Source organism: Homo sapiens, chromosome 12, assembly GCF_000001405.40.
Source record: "Homo sapiens chromosome 12, GRCh38.p14 Primary Assembly".
In the NCBI taxonomy this organism is placed as follows: domain Eukaryota; kingdom Metazoa; phylum Chordata; class Mammalia; order Primates; family Hominidae; genus Homo; species Homo sapiens.
This window is the reverse complement of record NC_000012.12, coordinates 37,048,760-37,070,765: the sequence shown is the minus strand read 5'-3', so window position 1 is coordinate 37,070,765 and position 22,006 is coordinate 37,048,760. Positions and strand designations below refer to the sequence as shown.

Genomic DNA, 22,006 nt, shown 5'->3' with positions numbered 1-22,006 from the left:
AAGATGTTTCCTTTTCTACCTTTGGTCTCAAAGCGATTGAAATCTCAACATGGAAACTCCACAAAAAGAGTGTTTCAAATCTGCTCTTTCTGAAGGAAGGTTCATCTCTGTGAGTTGAATACACACACCACAAATAAGTTACTGAGAATTCTTCTGTGTAACATTATATGAGGAAATCCCGTTTCCAACGAAGGCCTCAAAGAGCTCCAAATATCCACTTGCAGACTTTACAAAGACAGTGTCTCCAAACTCCTCCATCAAAAGAAAGGTTATACTCTGTGAATTGAACGCACACATCACAAAGTAGTTTCTGAGAATGATTCTGTCTAGTTTTTATACGAAGATATTTCCTTTTCTACATTTGGCCTCAAAGCGCTTGAAATCTCCACCTGCAAATATCACAAAAAGAGGGTTTCACATCTGCTCTGTCTAAAGGACAGTTCACCTCTGTGAGTTGAATAGAGGCAACACAAAGAACTTACTCAGTATTCTTCTTTCTAGCGTTATATGAAGAAATCCCGTTTCCAACGAAGGCCTCAAAGAGGTCCAAATATCTGCTTGCAGACTTTACAGACAGAGTGTTTCCAAACTACTCTATGAAAAGAAAGCTTAAACTCCTTGAGTTGAACGCACACATCACAAAGAAGTTTCTGAGAATGATTCTGTCTAGTTTTTATACGAAGATGTTTCCTTTTCTACATTTGGTTTCAAAGCGATTGGAATCTCCAACTGGAAACTGCACAAATAGGGTGTTTCAAATCTGCTCTGTCTAAAGGAAGGTTCAACTCTGTGAGTTGAATACACACACCACAAATAAGTTACTGAGAATTCTTCTGTCGAACATTACATGAAGAAATCCCGTTTCCAACGAAGACCTCAAAGAGGTCCAAATATCCACTTGCAGACATTACAAACAGTGTGTTTCCAAACTGCTCCAACAAAAGAAAGGTTAAACACTGTGAGCTGAACACACACATCAAAAAGAAGTTTCTGTGAATGATTCTGTCTAGATTTTATAAGAAGATGTTTCCTTTTCTACCGTAGGCCTCAAAGCGCTTCAAATCTCCAGCTGCAAATTCCTCAAAAAGGGTGTTTAACATCTGCTCTTCTAAAGGAAAGTTCAACTCTATGAGTTGAATACACACAGCACAAAGAAGTTACTGAGACTTCTTCTTTCTAGCATTCTATGAAGAAATCCCGTTTCCAACGAAGGCCTCAAAGAGGTCCAAATATCTGCTTGCAGACTTTACAGACAGAGTGTTTCCAAACTGCTCCATCAAAAGAAAGGTTAAACTCCTTGAGTTGAACACACACATCACAAAGTAGTTTCTGTGAATGATTCTGTCTAGTTTTTATACGAAGATGTTTCCTTTTCTACCTTTGGTCTCAAAGCGATTGAAATCTCCACATGGAAACTCCACAAAAAGAGTGTTTCAAATCTGCTCTTTCTGAAGGAAGGTTCAACTCTGTGAGTTGAATACACACACCACAAATAAGTTACTGAGAATTCTTCTGTGTAACATTATATGAGGAAATCCCGTTTCCAACGAAGGCCTCAAAGAGGTCCAAATATCCACTTGCAGACTTTACAAAGACAGTGTCTCCAAACTCCTCCATCAAAAGAAAGGTTATACTCTGTGAATTGAACGCACACATCACAAAGTAGTTTGCTGAGAATGATTCTGTCTAGTTTTTATACGAAGATATTTCCTTTTCTACATTTGGCCTAAAAGCGCTTGAAATCTCCACCTGCAAATATCACAAAAAGAGGGTTTCACATCTGCTCTGTCTAAAGGACAGTTCACCTCTGTGAGTTGAATAGAGGCAACACAAAGAACTTACTGAGTATTCTTCTTTCTAGCGTTCTATGAAGAAATCCCGTTTCCAACGAAGGCCCCAAAGAGGTCCAAATATCTGCTTGCAGACTTTACAGACAGAGTGTTTCCAAACTACTCTATGAAAAGAAAGCTTAAACTCCTTGAGTTGAACGCACACATCACAAATTAGTTTCTGAGAATGATGCTGTCTAGTTTTTATACGAAGATGTTTCCTTTTCTACATTTGGTCTCAAAGCGATTGAAATCTCCAACTGGAAACTGCACAAATAGGGTGTTTCAAATCTGCTCTGTCTAAAGGAAGGTTCAACTCAGGGAGTTGAATACACACACCACAAATAAGTTACTGAGAATTCTTCTGTCGAACATTACTTGAAGAAATCCCGTTTCCAACGAAGGCCTCAAAGAGGTCCAAATATCCACTTGCAGACATTACAAACAGAGTGTTTCCAAACTGCTCCATCAAAAGAAAGGTTAAACTCTGTGAGCTGAACACACACATCAAAAAGAAGTTTCTGTGAATGATTCTGTCTAGATTTTATAAGAAGATGTTTCCTTTTCTACCGTAGGCCTCAAAGCGCTTGAAATCTCCAGCTGCAAATTCCACAAAAAGGGTGTTTAACATCTGCTCTTCTAAAGGAAAGTTCAACTCTATGAGTTGAATACACACAGCACAAAGAAGTTACTGAGACTTCTCCTATCAAACATTATATGAAGAAATCCCGTTTCCAACGAAGGCCTCAAAGAGGTCCAAATATCTGCTTGCAGACTTTACAGACAGAGTGTTTCCAAACTGCTCCATCAAAAGAAAGGTTAAACTCCTTGAGTTGAACACACACATCACAAAGTAGTTTCTGTGAATGATTCTGTCTAGTTGTTATACGAAGATGTTTCCTTTTCTACCTTTGGTCTCAAAGCGATTGAAATCTCCACATGGAAACTCCACAAAAAGAGTGTTTCAAATCTGCTCTTTCTGAAGGAAGGTTCATCTCTGTGAGTTGAATACACACACCACAAATAAGTTACTGAGAATTCTTCTGTGTAACATTATATGAGGAAATCCCGTTTCCAACGAAGGCCTCAAAGAGGTCCAAATATCCACTTGCAGACTTTACAAAGACAGTGTCTCCAAACTCCTCCATCAAAAGAAAGGTTATACTCTGTGAATTGAACGCACACATCACAAAGTAGTTTCTGAGAATGATTCTGTCTAGTTTTTATACGAAGATATTTCCTTTTCTACATTTGGCCTGAAAGCGCTTGAAATCTCCACGTGCAAATATCACAAAAACAGGGTTTCACATCTGCTCTGTCTAAAGGACAGTTCACCTCTGTGAGTTGAATAGAGGCAACACAAAGAACTTACTCAGTATTCTTCTTTCTAGCCTTCTCTGAACAAATCCCGTTTCCAACGAAGGCCTCAAAGAGGTCCAAATATCTGCTTGCAGACTTTACAGACAGAGTGTTTCCAAACTACTCTATGAAAAGAAAGCTTAAACTCCTTGAGTTGAACGCACACATCACAAAGTAGTTTCTGAGAATGATTCTGTCTAGTTTTTATACGAAGATGTTTCCTTTTCTACATTTGGTCTCAAAGCGATTGAAATCTCCAACTGGAAACTGCACAAATAGGGTGTTTCAAATCTGCTCTGTCTAATGGAAGGTTCAACTCTGTGAGTTGAATACACACACCACAAATAAGTTACTGAGAATTCTTCTGTCGAACATTACTTGAAGAAATCCCGTTTCCAACGAAGGCCTCAAAGAGGTCCAAATATCCACTTGCAGACATTACAAACAGAGTGTTTCCAAACTGCTCCATCAAAAGAAAGGTTAAACTCTGTGAGCTGAACACACACATCGAAAAGAAGTTTCTGTGAATGATTCTGTCTAGATTTTATAAGAACATATTTCCTTTTCTACCGTAGGCCACAAAGCGCTTGAAATCTCCAGCTGCAAATTCCACAAAAAGGGTGTTTAACATCTGCTCTTCTAAAGGAAAGTTCAACTCTATGCGTTGAGTACACACAGCACAAAGAAGTTACTGAGACTTCTTCTTTCTAGCATTCTATGAAGAAATCCCGTTTCCAACGAAGGCCCCAAAGAGGTCCAAATATCTGCTTGCAGACTTTACAGACAGAGTTTTTCCAAACTGCTCCATCAAAAGAAAGGTTAAACTCCTTGAGTTGAACACACACATCACAAAGTAGTTTCTGTGAATGATTCTGTCTAGTTTTTATACGAAGATGTTTCCTTTTCTACCTTTGGTCTCAAAGCGATTGAAATCTCCACATGGAAACTCCACAAAAAGAGTGTTTCAAACCTGCTATTTCTGAAGGAAGGTTCAACTCTGTGAGTTGAATACACACACCACAAATAAGTTACTGAGAATTCTTCTGTGTAACATTATATGAGGAAATCCCGTTTCCAACGAGGGCCTCAAAGAGGTCCAAATATCCACTTGCAGACTTTACAAAGACAGTGTCTTGAAACTCCTCCATCAAAAGAAAGGTTATACTCTGTGAATTGAACGCACACATCACAAAGTAGTTTCTGAGAATGACTCTGTCTAGTTTTTATACGAAGATATTTCCTTTTCTACGTTTGGCCTAAAAGCGCTTGAAATCTCCACGTGCAAATATCACAAAAAGAGGGTTTCACACCTGCTCTGTCTAAAGGACAGTTCACCTCTGTGAGTTGAATAGAGGCAACACAAAGAACTTACTCAGTATTCTTCTTTCTAGCGTTCTATGAAGAAATCCCGTTTCCAACGAAGGCCCCAAAGAGGTCCAAATATCTGCTTGCAGACTTTACAGACAGAGTGTTTCCAAACTACTCTATGAAAAGAAAGCTTAAACTCCTTGAGTTGAACGCACACATCACAAAGTAGTTTCTGAGAATGATTCTGTCTAGTTTTTATACGAAGATGTTTCCTTTTCTACATTTGGTCTCAAAGCGATTGAAATCTCCAACTGGAAACTGCACAAATAGGGTGTTTCAAATCTGCTCTGTCTAAAGGAAGGTTCAACTCTGTGAGTTGAATACACACACCACAAATAAGTTACTGAGAATTCTTCTGTCGAACATTACTTGAAGAAATCCCGTTTCCAACGAAGGCCTCAAAGAGGTCCAAATATCCACCTGCAGACGTTACAAACAGAGTGTTTCCAAACTGCTCCATCAAAAGAAAGGTTAAACTCTGTGAGCTGAACACACACATGAAAAAGAAGTTTCTGTGAATGATTCTGTCTAGATTTTATAAGAAGATGTTTCCTTTTCTACCGTAGGCCTCAAAGCGCTTGAAATCTCCAGCTGCAAATTCCACAAAAAGGGTGTTTAACATCTGCTCTTCTAAAGGAAAGTTCAACTCTATGAGTTGAATACACACAGCACAAAGAAGTTACTGAGACTTCTCCTATCAAACATTATATGAAGAAATCCCGTTTCCAACGAAGGCCTCAAAGAGGTCCAAATATCTGCTTGCAGACTTTACAGACAGAGTGTTTCCAAACTGCTCCATCAAAAGAAAGGTTAAACTCCTTGAGTTGAACACACACATCACAAAGTAGTTTCTGTGAATGATTCTGTCTAGTTTTTATACGAAGATGTTTCCTTTTCTACCTTTGGTCTCAATGCGATTGAAATCTCCACATGGAAACTCCACAAAAAGAGTGTTTCAAATCTGCTCTTTGTGAAGGAAGGTTCAACTCTGTGAGTTGAATACACACACCACTAATAAGTTACTGAGAATTCTTCTGTGTAACATTATACGAGGAAATCCCGTTTCCAATGAAGGCCACAAAGAGGTCCAAATATCCACTTGCAGACTTTACAAAGACAGTGTCTCCAAACTCCTCCATCAAAAGAAAGGTTATAGTCTGTGAATTGAACGCACACATCACAAAGTAGTTTCTGAGAATGATTCTGTCTAGTTTTTATACGAAGATATTTCCTTTTCTACATTTGGCCTAAAAGCGCTTGAAATCTCCACCTGCAAATATCACAAAAAGAGGGTTTCACATCTGCTCTGTCTAAAGGACAGTTCACCTCTGTGAGTTGAATAGAGGCAACACAAAGAACTTACTCAGTATTCTTCTTTCTAGCGTTCTATGAAGAAATCCCGTTTCCAACGAAGGCCTCAAAGAGGTCCAAATATCTGCTTGCAGACTTTACAGACAGAGTGTTTCCAAACTACTCTATGAAAAGAAAGCTTAAAGTCCTTGAGTTGAACGCACACATCACAAAGTAGTTTCTGAGAATGATTCTGTCTAGTTTTTATACGAAGATGTTTCCTTTTCTACATTTGGTCTCAAAGCGATTGAAATCTCCAACTGGAAACTGCACAAATAGGGTGTTTCAAATCTGCTCTGTCTAAAGGAAGGTTCAACTCTTTGAGTTGAATACACACACCACAAATAAGTTACTGAGAATTCTTCTGTCGAACATTACAGGAAGAAATCCCGTTTCCAACGAAGGCCTCAAAGAGCTCCAAATATCCACTTGCAGACATTACAAACAGTGTGTTTCCCAACTGCTCCATCAAAAGAAAGGTTAAACTGCTGTGAGCTGAACACACACATCAAAAAGAAGTTTCTGTGAATGATTCTGTCTAGATTTTATAAGAAGATGTTTCCTTTTCTACCGTAGGCCTCAAAGCGCTTGAAACCTCCAGCTGCAAATTCCACAAAAAGGGTGTTTAACATCTGCTCTTCTAAAGGAAAGTTCAACTCTATGAGTTGAATACACACAGCACAAAGAAGTTACTGAGACTTCTCCTATCAAACATTATATGAAGAAATCCCGTTTCCAACGAAGGCCTCAAAGAGGTCCAAATATCTGCTTGCAGACTTTACAGACAGAGTGTTTCCAAACTGCTCCATCAAAAGAAAGGTTAAACTCCTTGAGTTGAACACACACATCACAAAGTAGTTTCTGTGAATGATTCTGTCTAGTTTCTATACGAAGATGTTTCCTTTTCTACCTTTGGTCTCAAAGCGATTGAAATCTCCACATGGAAACTCCACAAAAAGAGTGTTTCAAATCTGCTCTTTCTGAAGGAAGGTTCAACTCTGTGAGTTGAATACACACACCACAAATAAGTTCCTGAGAATTCTTCTGGGTAACATTATATGAGGAAATCCCGTTTCCAACGAAGGCCTCAAAGAGGTCCAAATATCCACTTGCAGACTTTACAAAGACAGTGTCTCCAAACTCCTCCATCAAAAGAAAGGTTATACTCTGTGAATTGAACGCACACATCACAAAGTAGTTTCTGAGAATGATTCTGTCTAGTTTTCATACGAAGATATTTCCTTTTCTACATTTGGCCTAAAAGCGCTTGAAATCTCCACCTGCACATATCACAAAAAGAGGGTTTCACATCTGCTCTGTCTAAAGGACAGTTCACCTCTGTGAGTTGAATAGAGGCAACACAAAGAACTTACTCAGTATTCGTCTTTCTAGCGTTCTATGAAGAAATCCCGTTTCCAACGAAGGCCCCAAAGAGGTCCAAATATCTGCTTGCAGACTTTACAGACAGAGTGTTTCCAAACTACTCTATGAAAAGAAAGCTTAAACTCCTTGAGTTGAACGCACACATCACAAAGTAGTTTCTGAGAATGATTCTGTCTAGTTTTTATACGAAGATGTTTCCTTTTCTACATTTGGTCTCAAAGCGATTGAAATCTCCAACTGGAAACTGCACAAATAGGGTGTTTCAAATCTGCTCTGTCTAAAGGAAGGTTCAACTCTGTGAGTTGAATACACACACAACAAATAAGTTACTGAGAATTCTTCTGTCGACCATTACTTGAAGAAATCCCGTTTCCAACGAAGGCCTCAAAGAGGTCCAAATATCCACTTGCAGACATTACAAACAGAGTGTTTCCAAACTGCTCCATCAAAAGAAAGGTTAAACTCTGTGAGCTGAACACACACATCGAAAAGAAGTTTCTGTGAATGATTCTGTCTAGATTTTATAAGAAGATGTTTCCTTTTCTACCGTAGGCCTCAAAGCGCTTGAAATCTCCAGCTGCAAATTCCACAAAAAGGGTGTTTAACATCTGCTCTTCTAAAGGAAAGTTCAACTCTATGAGTTGAATACACACAGCACAAAGAAGTTACTGAGACTTCTCCTATCAAACATTATATGAAGAAATCCCGTTTCCAACGAAGGCCTCAAAGAGGTCCAAATATCTGCTTGCAGACTTTACAGACAGAGTGTTTCCAAACTGCTCCATCAAAACAAAGGTTAAACTCCTTGAGTTGAACACACACATCACAAAGTAGTTTCTGTGAATGATTCTGTCTAGTTTTTATACGAAGATGTTTCCTTTTCTACCTTTGGTCTCAAAGCGATTGAAATCTCCACATGGAAACTCCACAAAAAGAGTTTCAAATCTGCTCTTTCTGAAGGAAGGTTCAACTCTGTGAGTTGAATTCACACACCACAAATAAGTTAGTGAGAATTCTTCTGTGTAACATTATATGAGGAAATCCCGTTTCCAACGAAGGCCTCAAAGAGGTCCAAATATCCACTTGCAGACTTTACAAAGACAGTGTCTCCAAACTCCTCCATCAAAAGAAAGGTTATACTCTGTGAATTGAACGCACACATCACAAAGTAGTTTCTGAGAATGATTCTGTCTAGTTTTTATACGAAGATATTTCCTTTTCTACATTTGGCCTAAAAGTGCTTGAAATCTCCACCTGCAAATATCACAAAAAGAGGGTTTCACATCTGCTCTGTCTAAAGGACAGTTCACCTCTGTGAGTTGAATAGAGGCAACACAAAGAACTTACTCAGTATTCTTCTTTCTTGCGTTCTATGAAGAAATCCCGTTTCCAACGAAGGCCCCAAAGAGGTCCAAATATCTGCTTGCACACTTTACAGACAGAGTGTTTCCAAACTACTCTATGAAAAGAAAGCTTAAACTCCTTGAGTTGAACGCACACATCACAAAGTAGTTTCTGAGAATGATTCTGTCTAGTTTTTATACGAAGATGTTTCCTTTTCTACATTTGGTCTCAAAGCGATTGAAATCTCCAACTGGAAACTGCACAAATAGGGTGTTTCAAATCTGCTCTGTCTAAAGGAAGGTTCAACTCTGTGAGTTGAATACACACACCACAAATAAGTTACTGAGAATTCTTCTGTCGAACATTACATGAAGAAATCCCGTTTCCAACGAATGCCTCAAAGAGGTCCAAATATCCACTTGCAGACATTACAAACAGAGTGTTTCCAAACTGCTCCATCAAAGGAAAGGTTAAACTCTGTGAGCTGAACACACCCATCAAAAAGAAGTTTCTGTGAATGATTCTGTCTAGATTTTATAAGAAGATGTTTCCTTTTCTACCATAGGCCTCAAAGCGCTTGAAATCTCCAGCTGCAAATTCCACAAAATGGGTGTTTAACATCTGCTCTTCTAAAGGAAAGTTCAACTCTATGAGTTGAATACACACAGCACAAAGAAGTTACTGAGACTTCTCCTATCAAACATTATATGAAGAAATCCCGTTTCCAACGAAGGCCTCAAAGAGGTCCAAATATCCACTTGCAGACGTGACAAACAGAGTGTTTCCAAACTGCTCCATCAAAAGAAAGGTTAAACTCTGTGAGTTGAACACACCCATCACAAAGTAGTTTCTGTGAATGATTCTGTCTAGTTTTTATACGAAGGTGTTTCCTTTTCTACCTTTGGTCTCAAAGCGACTGAAATCTCCACATGGAAACTCCACAAAAAGAGTGTTTCAAATCTGCTCTTTCTGAAGGAAGGTTCAACTCTGTGAGTTGAATACACACACCACAAATAAGTTACTGAGAATTCTTCTGTGTAACATTATATGAGGAAATCCCGTTTCCAACGAAGGCCTCAAAGAGGTCCAAATATCCACTTGCAGACATTACAAACAGAGTGTTTCCAAACTGCTCCATCAAAGGAAAGGTTAAACAATGTGAGCTGAACACACACATCAAAAAGAAGTTTCTGTGGATGATTCTGTCTAGTTTTTATACGAAGATATTTCCTTTTCTACATTTGGCCTCAAAGCGCTTGAAATCTCCACCTGCAAATATCACAAAAAGAGGGTTTCACATCTGCTCTGTCTAAAGGACAGTTCACCTCTGTGAGTTGAATAGAGGCAACACAAAGAACTTACTCAGTATTCTTCTTTCTAGCGTTCTATGAAGAAATCCCGTTTCCAACGAAGGCCCCTAAGAGGTCCAAATATCTGTTTGCAGACTTTACAGACAGAGTGTTTCCAAACTACTCTATGAAAAGAAAGCTTAAACTCCTTGAGTTGAACGCACACATCACAAAGTAGTTTCTGAGAATGATTCTGTCTAGTTTTTATACGAAGATGTTTCCTTTTCTACATTTGGTCTCAAAGCGATTGAAATCTCCAAATGGAAACTGCACAAATAGGGTGTTTCAAATCTGCTCTGTCTAAAGGAAGGTTCAACTCTGTGAGTTGAATACACACACCACAAATAAGTTACTGAGAATTCTTCTGTCGAACATTACATGAAGAAATCCCGTTTCCAAAGAAGGCCTCAAAGAGGTCCAAATATCCACTTGCCGACATGGCAAACACAGTATTTGCAAACTGCTCCGTCAAAAGAAAGGTTACACCCTGTGAGATGAACACACACATCAAAAAGTAGTTTCTGTGAATGATTCTGTCTAGATTTTATAAGAAGATGTTTCCTTTTCTACCATAGGCCTCAAAGCGCTAGAAATCTCCAGCTGCAAATTCCACAAAAAGTGTGTTAAACATATGCTCTGTCTAAAGTAAAGTTCAGCTCTGTGAGTTGAATACACACAGCACAAAGAAGTTACTGAGAATTCTCCTATCAAACATTATATGAAGAAATCCCGTTTCCAACGAAGGCCTCAAAGAGGTCCAAATATCTGCTTGCAGACTTTACAGACAGAGTGTTTCCAAACTGCTCCATCAAAAGAAAGGTTAAACTCCTTGAGTTGAACACACACATCACAAAGTAGTTTCTGTGAATGATTCTGTCTAGTTGTTATACGAAGATGTTTCCTTTTCTACCTTTGGTCTCAAAGCGATTGAAATCTCCACATGGAAACTCCACAAAAAGAGTGTTTCAAATCTGCTCTTTCTGAAGGAAGGTTCATCTCTGTGAGTTGAATACACACACCACAAATAAGTTAGTGAGAATTCTTCTGTGTAACATTATATGAGGAAATCCCGTTTCCAACGAAGGCCTCAAAGAGATCCAAATATCCACTTGCAGACTTTACAAAGACAGTGTCTCCAAACTCCTCCATCAAAAGAAAGGTTATACTCTGTGAATTGAACGCACACATCACAAAGTAGTTTCTGAGAATGATTCTGTCTAGTTTTTATACGAAGATATTTCCTTTTCTACATTTGGCCTAAAATCGCTTGAAATCTCCACCTGCAAATATCACAAAAAGAGGGTTTCACATCTGCTCTTTCTAAAGGACAGTTCACCTCTGTGAGTTGAATAGAGGCAACACAAAGAACTTACTCAGTATTCTTCTTTCTAGCGTTCTATGAAGAAATCCCGTTTCCAACGAAGGCCTCAAAGAGGTCCAAATATCTGCTTGCAGACTTTACAGACAGAGTGTTTCCAAACTACTCTATGAAAAGAAAGCTTAAACTCCTTGAGTTAAACGCACACATCACAAAGTAGTTTCTGAGAATGATTCTGTCTAGTTTTTATACGAAGATGTTTCCTTTTCTACATTTGGTCTCAAAGCGATTGAAATCTCCAACTGGAAACTGCACAAATAGGCTTTTTCAAATCTGCTCTGTCTAAAGGAAGGTTCAACTCTGTGAGTTGAATACACACACCACAAATAAGTTACTGAGAATTCTTCTGTCGAACATTACTTGAAGAAATCCCGTTTCCAACGAAGGCCTCAAAGAGGTCCAAATATCCACTTGCAGACATTACAAACAGAGTGTTTCCAAACTGCTCCATCAAAAGAAAGGTTAAACTCCTTGAGTTGAACACACACATCACAAAGTAGTTTCTGTGAATGATTCTGTCTAGATTTTATAAGAAGATGTTTCCTTTTCTACCGTAGGCCTCAAAGCGCTTGAAATCTCCAGCTGCAAATTCCACAAAAAGGGTGTTTAACATCTGCTCTTCTAAAGGAAAGTTCAACTCTATGAGTTGAATACACACAGCACAAAGAAGTTACTGAGACTTCTCCTATCAAACATTATATGAAGAAATCCCGTTTCCAACGAAGGCCTCAAAGAGGTCTAAATATCTGCTTGCAGACTTTACAGACAGAGTGTTTCCAAACTGCTCCATCAAAAGAAAGGTTAAACTCCTTGAGTTGAACACACACATCACAAAGTAGTTTCTGTGAATGATTCTGTCTAGTTTTTATACGAAGATGTTTCCCTTTCTACCTTTGGTCTCAAAGCGATTAAAATCTCCACATGGAAACTCCACAAAAAGAGTGTTTCATATCTGCTCTTTCTGAAGGAAGGTTCAACTCTGTGAGTTGAATACACACAGCAAAAATAAGTTACTGAGAATTCTTCTGGGTAACATTATATGAGGAAATCCCGTTTCCAACGAAGGCCTCAAAGAGGTCCAAATATCCACTTGCAGACTTTACAAAGACAGTGTCTCCAAACTCCTCCATCAAAAGAAAGGTTATACTCTGTGAATTGAACGCACACATCACAAAGTAGTTTCTGAGAATGATTCTGTCTAGTTTTTATACGAAGATATTTCCTTTTCTACATTTGGCCTAAAAGCGCTTGAAATCTCCACCTGCAAATAAAACAAAAAGAGGGTTTCACATCTGCTCTGTCTAAAGGACAGTTCACCTCTGTGAGTTGAATAGAGGCAACACAAAGAACTTACTCAGTATTCTTCTTTCTAGCGCTCTATGAAGAAATCCCGTTTCCAACGAAGGCCTCAAAGAGGTCCAAATATCTGCTTGCAGACTTCACAGACAGAGTGTTTCCAAAGTACTCTATGAAAAGAAAGCTTAAACTCCTTGAGTTGAACGCACACATCACAAAGTAGTTTCTGAGAATGATTCTGTCTAGTTTTTATACGAAGATGTTTCCTTTTCTACATTTGGTCTCAAAGCGATTGAAATCTCCAACTGGAAACTGCACAAATAGGGTGTGTCAAATCTGCTCTTTCTAAAGGAAGGTTCAACTCTGTGAGTTGAATACACACACCACAAATAAGTTACTGAGAATTCTTCTGTCGAACATTACAGGAAGAAATCCCGTTTCCAGCGAAGGCCTCAAAGAGGTCCAAATATCCACTTGCAGACATTACAAACAGAGTGTTTCCAAACTGCTCCATCAAAAGAAAGGTTAAACTCTGTGAGCTGAACACACACATCAAAAAGAAGTTTCTGTGAATGATTCTGTCTAGATTTTATAAGAAGATGTTTCCTTTTCTACCGTAGGCCTCAAAGCGCTTGAAATCTCCAGCTGCAAATTCCACAAAAAGGGTGTTTAACATCTGCTCTTCTAAAGGAAAGTTCAACTCTATGAGTTGAATACACACAGCACAAAGAAGTTACTGAGACTTCTCCTATCAAACATTATATGAAGAAATCCCGTTTCCAACGAAGGCCTCAAAGAGGTCTAAATATCTGCTTGCAGACTTTACAGACAGAGTGTTTCCAAACTGCTCCATCAAAAGAAAGGTTAAACTCCTTGAGTTGAACACACACATCACAAAGTAGTTTCTGTGAATGATTTCTGTCTAGTTGTTATACGAAGATGTTTCCTTTTCTACCTTTGTTCTCAAAGCGATTGAAATCTCCACATGGAAACTCCACAAAAAGAGTGTTTCAAATCTGCTCTTTCTGAAGGAAGGTTCATCTCTGTGAGTTGAATACACACACCACAAATAAGTTACTGAGAATTCTTCTGTGTAACATTATATGAGGAAATCCCGTTTCCAACGAAGGCCTCAAAGAGGTCCAAATATCCACTTGCAGACTTTACAAAGACAGGGTCTCCAAACTCCTCCATCAAAAGAAAGGTTATACTCTGTGAATTGAACGCACACATCACAAAGTGGTTTCTGAGAATGATTCTGTCTAGTTTTTATACGAAGATATTTCCTTTTCTACATTTGGCCTAAAAGCGCTTGAAATCTCCACCTGCAAATATCACAAAAAGAGGGTTTCACATCTGCTCTGTCTAAAGGACAGTTCACCTCTGTGAGTTGAATAGAGGCAACACAAAGAACTTACTCAGTATTCTTCTTTCTAGCGTTCTATGAACAAATCCCGTTTCCAACGAAGGCCCCAAAGAGGTCCAAATATCTGCTTGCAGACTTTACAGACAGAGTGTTTCCAAACTACTCTATGAAAAGAAAGCTTAAACTCCTTGAGTTGAACGCACACATCACAAAGTAGTTTCTGAGAATGATTCTGTCTAGTTTTTATACGAAGATGTTTCCTTTTCTACATTTGGTCTCAAAGCGATTGAAATCTCCAACTGGAAACTGCACAAATAGGGTGTTTCAAATCTGCTCTGTCTAAAGGAAGGTTCAACTCTGTGAGTTGAATACACACACCACAAATAAGTTACTGAGAATTCTTCTGTCGAACATTACAGGAAGAAATCCCGTTTCCAACGAAGGCCTCAAAGAGGTCCAAATATCCACTTGCAGACATTACAAACAGAGTGTTTCCAAACTGCTCCATCAAAAGAAAGGTTAAACTCTGTGAGCTGAACACACACATCAAAAAGAAGTTTCTGTGAATGATTCTGTCTAGATTTTCTAAGAAGATGTTTCCTTTTCTACCGTAGGCCTCAAAGCGCTTGAAGTCTCCAGCTGCAAATTCCACAAAAAGGGTGTTTAACATCTGCACTTCTAAAGGAAAGTTCAACTCTATGAGTTGAATACACACAGCACAAAGAAGTTACTGAGACTTCTCCTATCAAACATTATATGAAGAAATCCCGTTTCCAACGAAGGCCTCAAACAGGTCCAAATATCTGCTTGCAGACTTTACAGACAGAGTTTTTCCAAACTGCTCCATCAAAAGAAAGGTTAAACTCCTTGAGTTGAACACACACATCACAAAGTAGTTTCTGTGAATGATTCTGTCTAGTTGTTATACGAAGATGTTTCCTTTTCTACCTTTGGTCTCAAAGCGATTGAAATCTCCACATGGAAACTCCACAAAAAGAGTGTTTCAAATCTGCTCTTTCTGAAGGAAGGTTCATCTCTGTGAGTTGAATACACACACCACAAATAAGTTACTGAGAATTCTCCTATCAAACATTATATGAAGAAATCCCGTTTCCAACGAAGGCCTCAAAGAGGTCCAAATATCTGCTTGCAGACTTTACAAAGACAGTGTCTCCAAACTCCTCCAACAAAAGAAAGGTTATACTCTGTGAATTGAACGCACACATCACAAAGTAGTTTCTGAGAATGATTCTGTCTAGTTTTTATACGAAGATATTTCCTTTTCTACATTTGGCCTAAAAGCGCTTGAAATCTCCACCTGCAAATATCACAAAAAGAGGGTTTCACATCTGCTCTGTCTAAAGGACAGTTCACCTCTGTGAGTTGAATAGAGGCAACACAAAGAACTTACTCAGTTTTCTTCTTTATAGCGTTATATGATGAAATGCCGTTTCCAACAAAGGCCTCAAAGAGGTCCAAATATCTGCTTGCAGACTTTACAGACAGAGTGTTTCCAAACTACTCTATGAAAAGAAAGCTTAAACTTCTTGAGTTGAACGCACACATCACAAAGTAGTTTCTGATAATGATTCTGTCTTGTTTTTATACAAATGTATTTCCGTTTCTATGGCCTCAAAGCAATTGAAATCTCTAACTGTAAACTGCACAAATAGGGTGTTTCAAATCTGTTCTGTCTAAAGGAAGGTTCAACTCTGTGAGTTGAATACACACAACACAAATAAGTTACTGAGAATTCTTCTGTCGAACATTACAGGAAGAAATCCCGTTTCCAGCGAAGGCCTCAAAGAGGTCCAAATATCCACTTGCAGACATTACAAACAGAGTGTTTCCAAACTGCTCCATCAAAAGAAAGGTTAAACTCTGTGAGCTGAACACACACATCAAAAAGAAGTTTCTGTGAATGATTCTGTCTAGATTTTATAAGAAGATGTTTCCTTTTCTACCGTAGGCCTCAAAGCGCTTGAAATCTCCAGCTGCAAATTCCACAAAAAGGGTGTTTAACATCTGCTCTTCTAAAGGAAAGTTCAACTCTATGAGTTGAATACACACAGCACAAAGAAGTTACTGAGACTTCTCCTATCAAACATTATATGAAGAAATCCCGTTTCCAACGAAGGCCTCAAAGAGGTCCAAATATCTGCTTGCAGACTTTACAGACAGAGTGTTTCCAAACTGCTCCATCAAAAGAAAGGTTAAACTCCTTGAGTTGAACACACACATCACAAAGTAGTTTCTGTGAATGATTCTGTCTAGTTTTTATACGAAGATGTTTCCTTTTCTACCTTTGGTCTCAAAGCGATTGAAATCTCCACATGGAAACTCCACAAAAAGAGTGTTTCAAATCTGCTCTTTCTGAAGGAAGGTTCATCTCTGTGAGTTGAATACACACACCACAAATAAGTTACTGAGAATTCTTCTGGGTAACATTATATGAGGAAATCCCGTTTCCAACGAAGGCCTCAAAGAGGTCCAAATATCCACTTGCAGACTTTACAAAGACAGTGTCTCCAAACTCCTCCATCAAAAGAAAGGTTATACTCTGTGAATTGAACGCACACATCACAAAGTAGTTTCTGAGAATGATTCTGTCTGGTTTTTATACGAAGATATTTCCTTTTCTACATTTGGCCTAAAAGTGCTTGAAATCTCCACTTGCAAATATCACAAAAAGAGGGTTTCACATCTGCTCTGTCTAAAGGACAGTTCACCTCTGTGAGTTGAATAGAGGCAACACAAAGAACTTACTCAGTATTTTTCTTTCTAGCGTTCTATGAAGAAATCCCGTTTCCAACGAAGGCCTCAAAGAGGTCAAAGATCTGCTTGCAGACTTTACAGAGAGAGTGTTTCCAAACTACTCTATGAAAAGAAAGCTTAAACTCCTTGAGTTGAACGCACACATCACAAAGTAGTTTCTGAGAATGATTCTGTCTAGTTTTTATACGAAGATGTTTCCTTTTCTACATTTGGTCTCAAAGCGATTGAAATCTCCAACTGGAAACTGCACAAATAGGGTGTTTCAAATTTGCTCTGTCTAAAGGAAGGTTCAACTCTGTGAGTTGAATACACACACCACAAATAAGTTACTGAGAATTCTTCTGTCGAACATTACTTGAAGAAATCCCGTTTCCAACGAAGGCCTCAAAGAGGTCCAAATATCCACTTGCAGACATTACAAACAGAGTGTTTCCAAACTGCTCCATCAAAAGAAAGGTTAAACTCGGTGAGCTGAACACACACATCAAAAAGAAGTTTCTGTGAATGATTCTGTCTAGATTTTATAAGAAGATGTTTCCTTTTCTACCGTAGGCCTCAAAGCGCTTGAAATCTCCAGCTGCAAATTCCACAAAAAGGGTGTTTAACATCTGCTCTTCTAAAGGAAAGTTCAACTCTATGAGTTGAATACACACAGCACAAAGAAGTTACTGAGACTTCTCCTATCAAACATTATATGAAGAAATCCCGTTTCCAACGAAGGCCTCAAAGAGGTCCAAATATCTGCTTGCAGACTTTACAGACAGAGTTTTTCCAAACTGCTCCATCAAAAGAAAGGTTAAACTCCTTGAGTTGAACACACACATCACAAAGTAGTTTCTGTGAATGATTCTGTCTAGTTTTTATACGAAGATGTTTCCTTTTCTACCTTTGGTCTCAAAGCGATTGAAATCTCCACATGGAAACTCCACAAAAAGAGTGTTTCAAATCTGCTCTTTCTGAAGGAAGGTTCAACTCTTGTGAGTTGAATACACACACCACAAATAAGTTACTGAGAATTCTTCTGTGTAACATTATATGAGGAAATCCCGTTTCCAACGAAGGCGTCAAAGAGATCCAAATATCCACTTGCAGACTTTACAAAGACAGTGTCTCCAAACTCCTCCATCAAAAGAAAGGTTATACTCTGTGAATTGAACGCACACATCACAAAGTAGTTTCTGAGAATGATTCTGTCTAGTTTTTATGCGAAGATATTTCCTTTTCTACATTTGGCCTAAAAGCGCTTGAAATCTCCACCTGCAAATATCACAAAAAGAGGGTTTCACATCTGCTCTGTCTAAAGGACAGTTCACCTCTGTGAGTTGAATAGAGGCAACACAAAGAACTTACTCAGTATTCTTCTTTCTAGCGTTCTATGAAGAAATCCCGTTTCCAACGAAGGCCACAAAGAGGTCCAAATATCTGCTTGCAGACTTTACAGACAGAGTGTTTCCAAACTACTCTATGAAAAGAAAGCTTAAACACCTTGAGTTGAACGCACACATCACAAAGTAGTTTCTGAGAATGATTCTGTCTAGTTTTTATACGAAGATGTTTCCTTTTCTACATTTGGTCTCAAAGCGATTGAAATCTCCAACTGGAAACTGCACAAATAGGGTGTTTCAAATCTGCTCTGTCTAAAGGAAGGTTCAACTCTGTGAGTTGAATACACACACCACAAATAAGTTACTGAGAATTCTTCTGTCGAACATTACAGGAAGAAATCCCGTTTCCAACGAAGGCCTCAAAGAGGTCCAAATATCCACTTGCAGACATTACAAACAGTGTGTTTCCAAACTGCCCCATCAAAAGAAAGGTTAAACTCTGTGAGCTGAACACACACATCAAAGAGAAGTTTCTGTGAATGATTCTGTCTAGATTTTATACGAAGATGTTTCCTTTTCTACCGTAAGCCTCAAAGCGCTTGAAATCTCCAGCTGCTAATTCCACAAAAAGGGTGTTTAAGATCGGCTCTTCTAAAGGAAAGTTCAACTCTATGAGTTGAATACACACAGCACAAAGAAGTTACTGAGACTTCTCCTATCAAACATTATATGAAGAAATCCCGTTTCCAACGAAGGCCTCAAAGAGGTCCAAATATCTGCTTGCAGACTTTACAGACAGAGTTTTTCCAAACTGCTCCATCAAAAGAAAGTTTAAACTCCTTGAGTTGAACACACACATCACAAACTAGTTTCTGTGAATGAATCTGTCTTGTTTTTATACGAAGATGTTTCCTTTTCTACATTTGGTCTCAATGCGATTGAAATCTCCACATGGAAACTCCACAAAAAGAGTGTTTCAAATCTGCTCTTTCTGAAGGAAGGTTCAACTCTGTGAGTTGAATACACACACCACAAATAAGTTACTGAGAATTCTTCTGTGTCACATTATATGAGGAAATCCTGTTTCCAACGAAGGCCTCAAAGAGGTCCAAATATCCACTTGCAGACTTTACAAAGACAGTGTCTCCAAACTCCTCCATCAAAAGAAAGGTTATACTCTGTGAATTGAACGCACACATCACAAAGTAGTTTCTGAGAATGATTCTGTCTAGTTTTTATACGAAGATATTTCCTTTTCTACATTTGGCCTAAAAGCGCTTGAAATCTCCACCTGCAAATATCACAAAAAGAGGGTTTCACATCTGCTCTGTCTGAAGGACAGTTCACCTCTGTGAGTTGAATAGAGGCAACACAAAGAACTTACTCAGTATTCTTCTTTCTAGCGTTCTATGAAGAAATCCCGTTTCCAACGAAGGCCCCAAAGAGGTCCAAATATCTGCTTGCACACTTTACAGACAGAGTGTTTCCAAACTACTCTATGAAAAGAAAGCTTAAACTCCTTGAGTTGAACGCACACATCACAAAGAGTTTCTGAGAATGATTCTGTCTAGTTTTTATACGAAGATGTTTCCTTTTCTACATTTGGTCTCAAAGCGATTGAAATCTCCAACTGGAAACTGCACAAATAGGGTGTTTCAAATTTGCTCTGTCGAAAGGAAGGTTCAACTCTGTGAGTTGAATACACACACCACAAATAAGTTACTGAGAATTCTTCTGACTCGAACATTTACATGTGAAGAAATCCCGTTTCCAACGAAGGCCTCAAAGAGGTCCAAATATCCACTTGCAGACATTACAAACAGAGTGTTTCCAAACTACTCCATCAAAAGAAAGGTTAAACTCTGTGAGCTGAACACACACATCAAAAAGAAGTTTCTGTGAATGATTCTGTCTAGATTTTATAAGAAGATGTTTCCTTTTCTACCGTAGGCCTCAAAGCGCTTGAAATCTCCAGCTGCAAATTCCACAAAAAGGGTGTTTAACATCTGCTCTTCTAAAGGAAAGTTCAACTCTATGAGTTGAATACACACAGCACAAAGAAGTTACTGAGACTTCTCCTATCAAACATTATATGAAGAAATCCCGTTTCCAACGAAGGCCTCAAAGAGGTCCAAATGTCTGCTTGCAGACTTTACAGACAGAGTGTTTCCAAACTGCTCCATCAAAAGAAAGGTTAAACTCCTTGAGTTGAACACACACATCACAAAGTAGTTTCTGTGAATGATTCTGTCTAGTTTTTATACGAAGATGTTTCCTTTTCTACCTTTGGTCTCAAAGCGATTGAAATCTCCACATGGAAACTCCACAAAAAGAGTGTTTCAAATCTGCTCTTTCTGAAGGAAGGTTCAACTCTGTGAGTTGAATACACACACCACAAATAAGTTACTGAGAATTCTTCTGTGTAACATTATATGAGGAAATCCCGTTTCCAACGAAGGCCTCAAAGAGGTCCAAATATCCACTTGCAGACTTTACAAAGACAGTGTCTCCAAACTCCTCCATCAAAAGGAAAGGTTATACTCTGTGAATTGAACGCACACATCCCAAAGTAGTTTCTGAGAATGATTCTGTCTAGTTTTTATACGAAGATATTTCCTTTTCTACATTTGGCCTAAAAGCGCTTGAAATCTCCACCTGCAAATATCACAAAAAGAGGGTTTCACATCTGCTCTGTCTAAAGGACAGTTCACCTCTGTGAGTTGAATAGAGGCAACACAAAGAACTTACTCAGTATTCTTCTTTCTAGCGTTCTGTGAAGAAATCCCGTTTCCAACGAAGGCCTCAAAGAGGTCCAAATATCTGCTTGCAGACTTTACAGACAGAGTGTTTCCAAACTACTCTATGAAAAGAAAGGTTAAACTCCTTGAGTTGAACGCACACATCACAAAGTAGTTTCTGAGAATGATTCTGTCTAGTTTTTATACGAAGATGTTTCCTTTTCTACATTTGGTCTCAAAGCGATTGAAATCTCCAACTGGAAACTGCACAAATAGGCTGTTTCAAATCTGCTCTGTCTAAAGGAAGGTTCAACTCTGTGAGTTGAATACACACACCACAAATAAGTTACTGAGAATTCTTCTGTCGAACATTACATGAAGAAATCCCGTTTCCAACGAAGGCCTCAAAGAGGTCCAAATGTCCACTTGCAGACATTACCAACAGTGTGTTTCCAAACTGCTCCATCAAAAGAAAGGTTAAACTCTGTGAGCTGAACACACACATCAAAAAGAAGTTTCTGTGAATGATTCTGTCTAGATTTTATAAGAAGATGTTTCCTTTTCTACCGTAGGCCTCAAAGCGCTTGAAATCTCCAGCTGCAAATTCCACAAAAAGGGTGTTTAACATCTGCTCTTCTAAAGGAAAGTTCAACTCTATGAGTTGAATACACACAGCACAAAGAAGTTACTGAGACTTCTCCTATCAAACATTATATGAAGAAATCCCGTTTCCAACGAAGGCCTCAAAGAGGTCCAAATATCTGCTTGCAGACTTTACAGACAGAGTATTTCCAAACTGCTCCATCAAAAGAAAGGTTAAACTCCTTGAGTTGAACACACACATCACAAAGTAGTTTCTGTGAATGATTCTGTCTAGTTTTTATACGAAGAATGTTTCCTTTTCTACCTTTGGTCTCAAAGCGATTGAAATCTCCACATGGAAACTCCACAAAAAGAGTGTTTCAAATCTGCTCTTTCTGAAGGAAGTTTCAACTCTGTGAGTTGAATACACACACCACAAATAAGTTACTGAGAATTCTTCTGTGTAACATTATATGAGGAAATCCCGTTTCCAACGAAGGCCTCAAAGAGGTCCAAATATCCACTTGCAGACTTTACAAAGACAGTGTCTCCAAACTCCTCCAT

General features: G+C 38.6%; 1 annotated feature.

Annotated features, from left to right (window-relative positions):
• Positions 1 to 22,006: part of a centromere (Linear centromere model derived predominantly from reads generated in PMID: 17803354. This region does not represent an actual centromere sequence, as long-range ordering of repeats and unmapped WGS contigs is not provided by the model. For details of model production, see http://arxiv.org/abs/1307.0035.) that runs on past both edges of the window.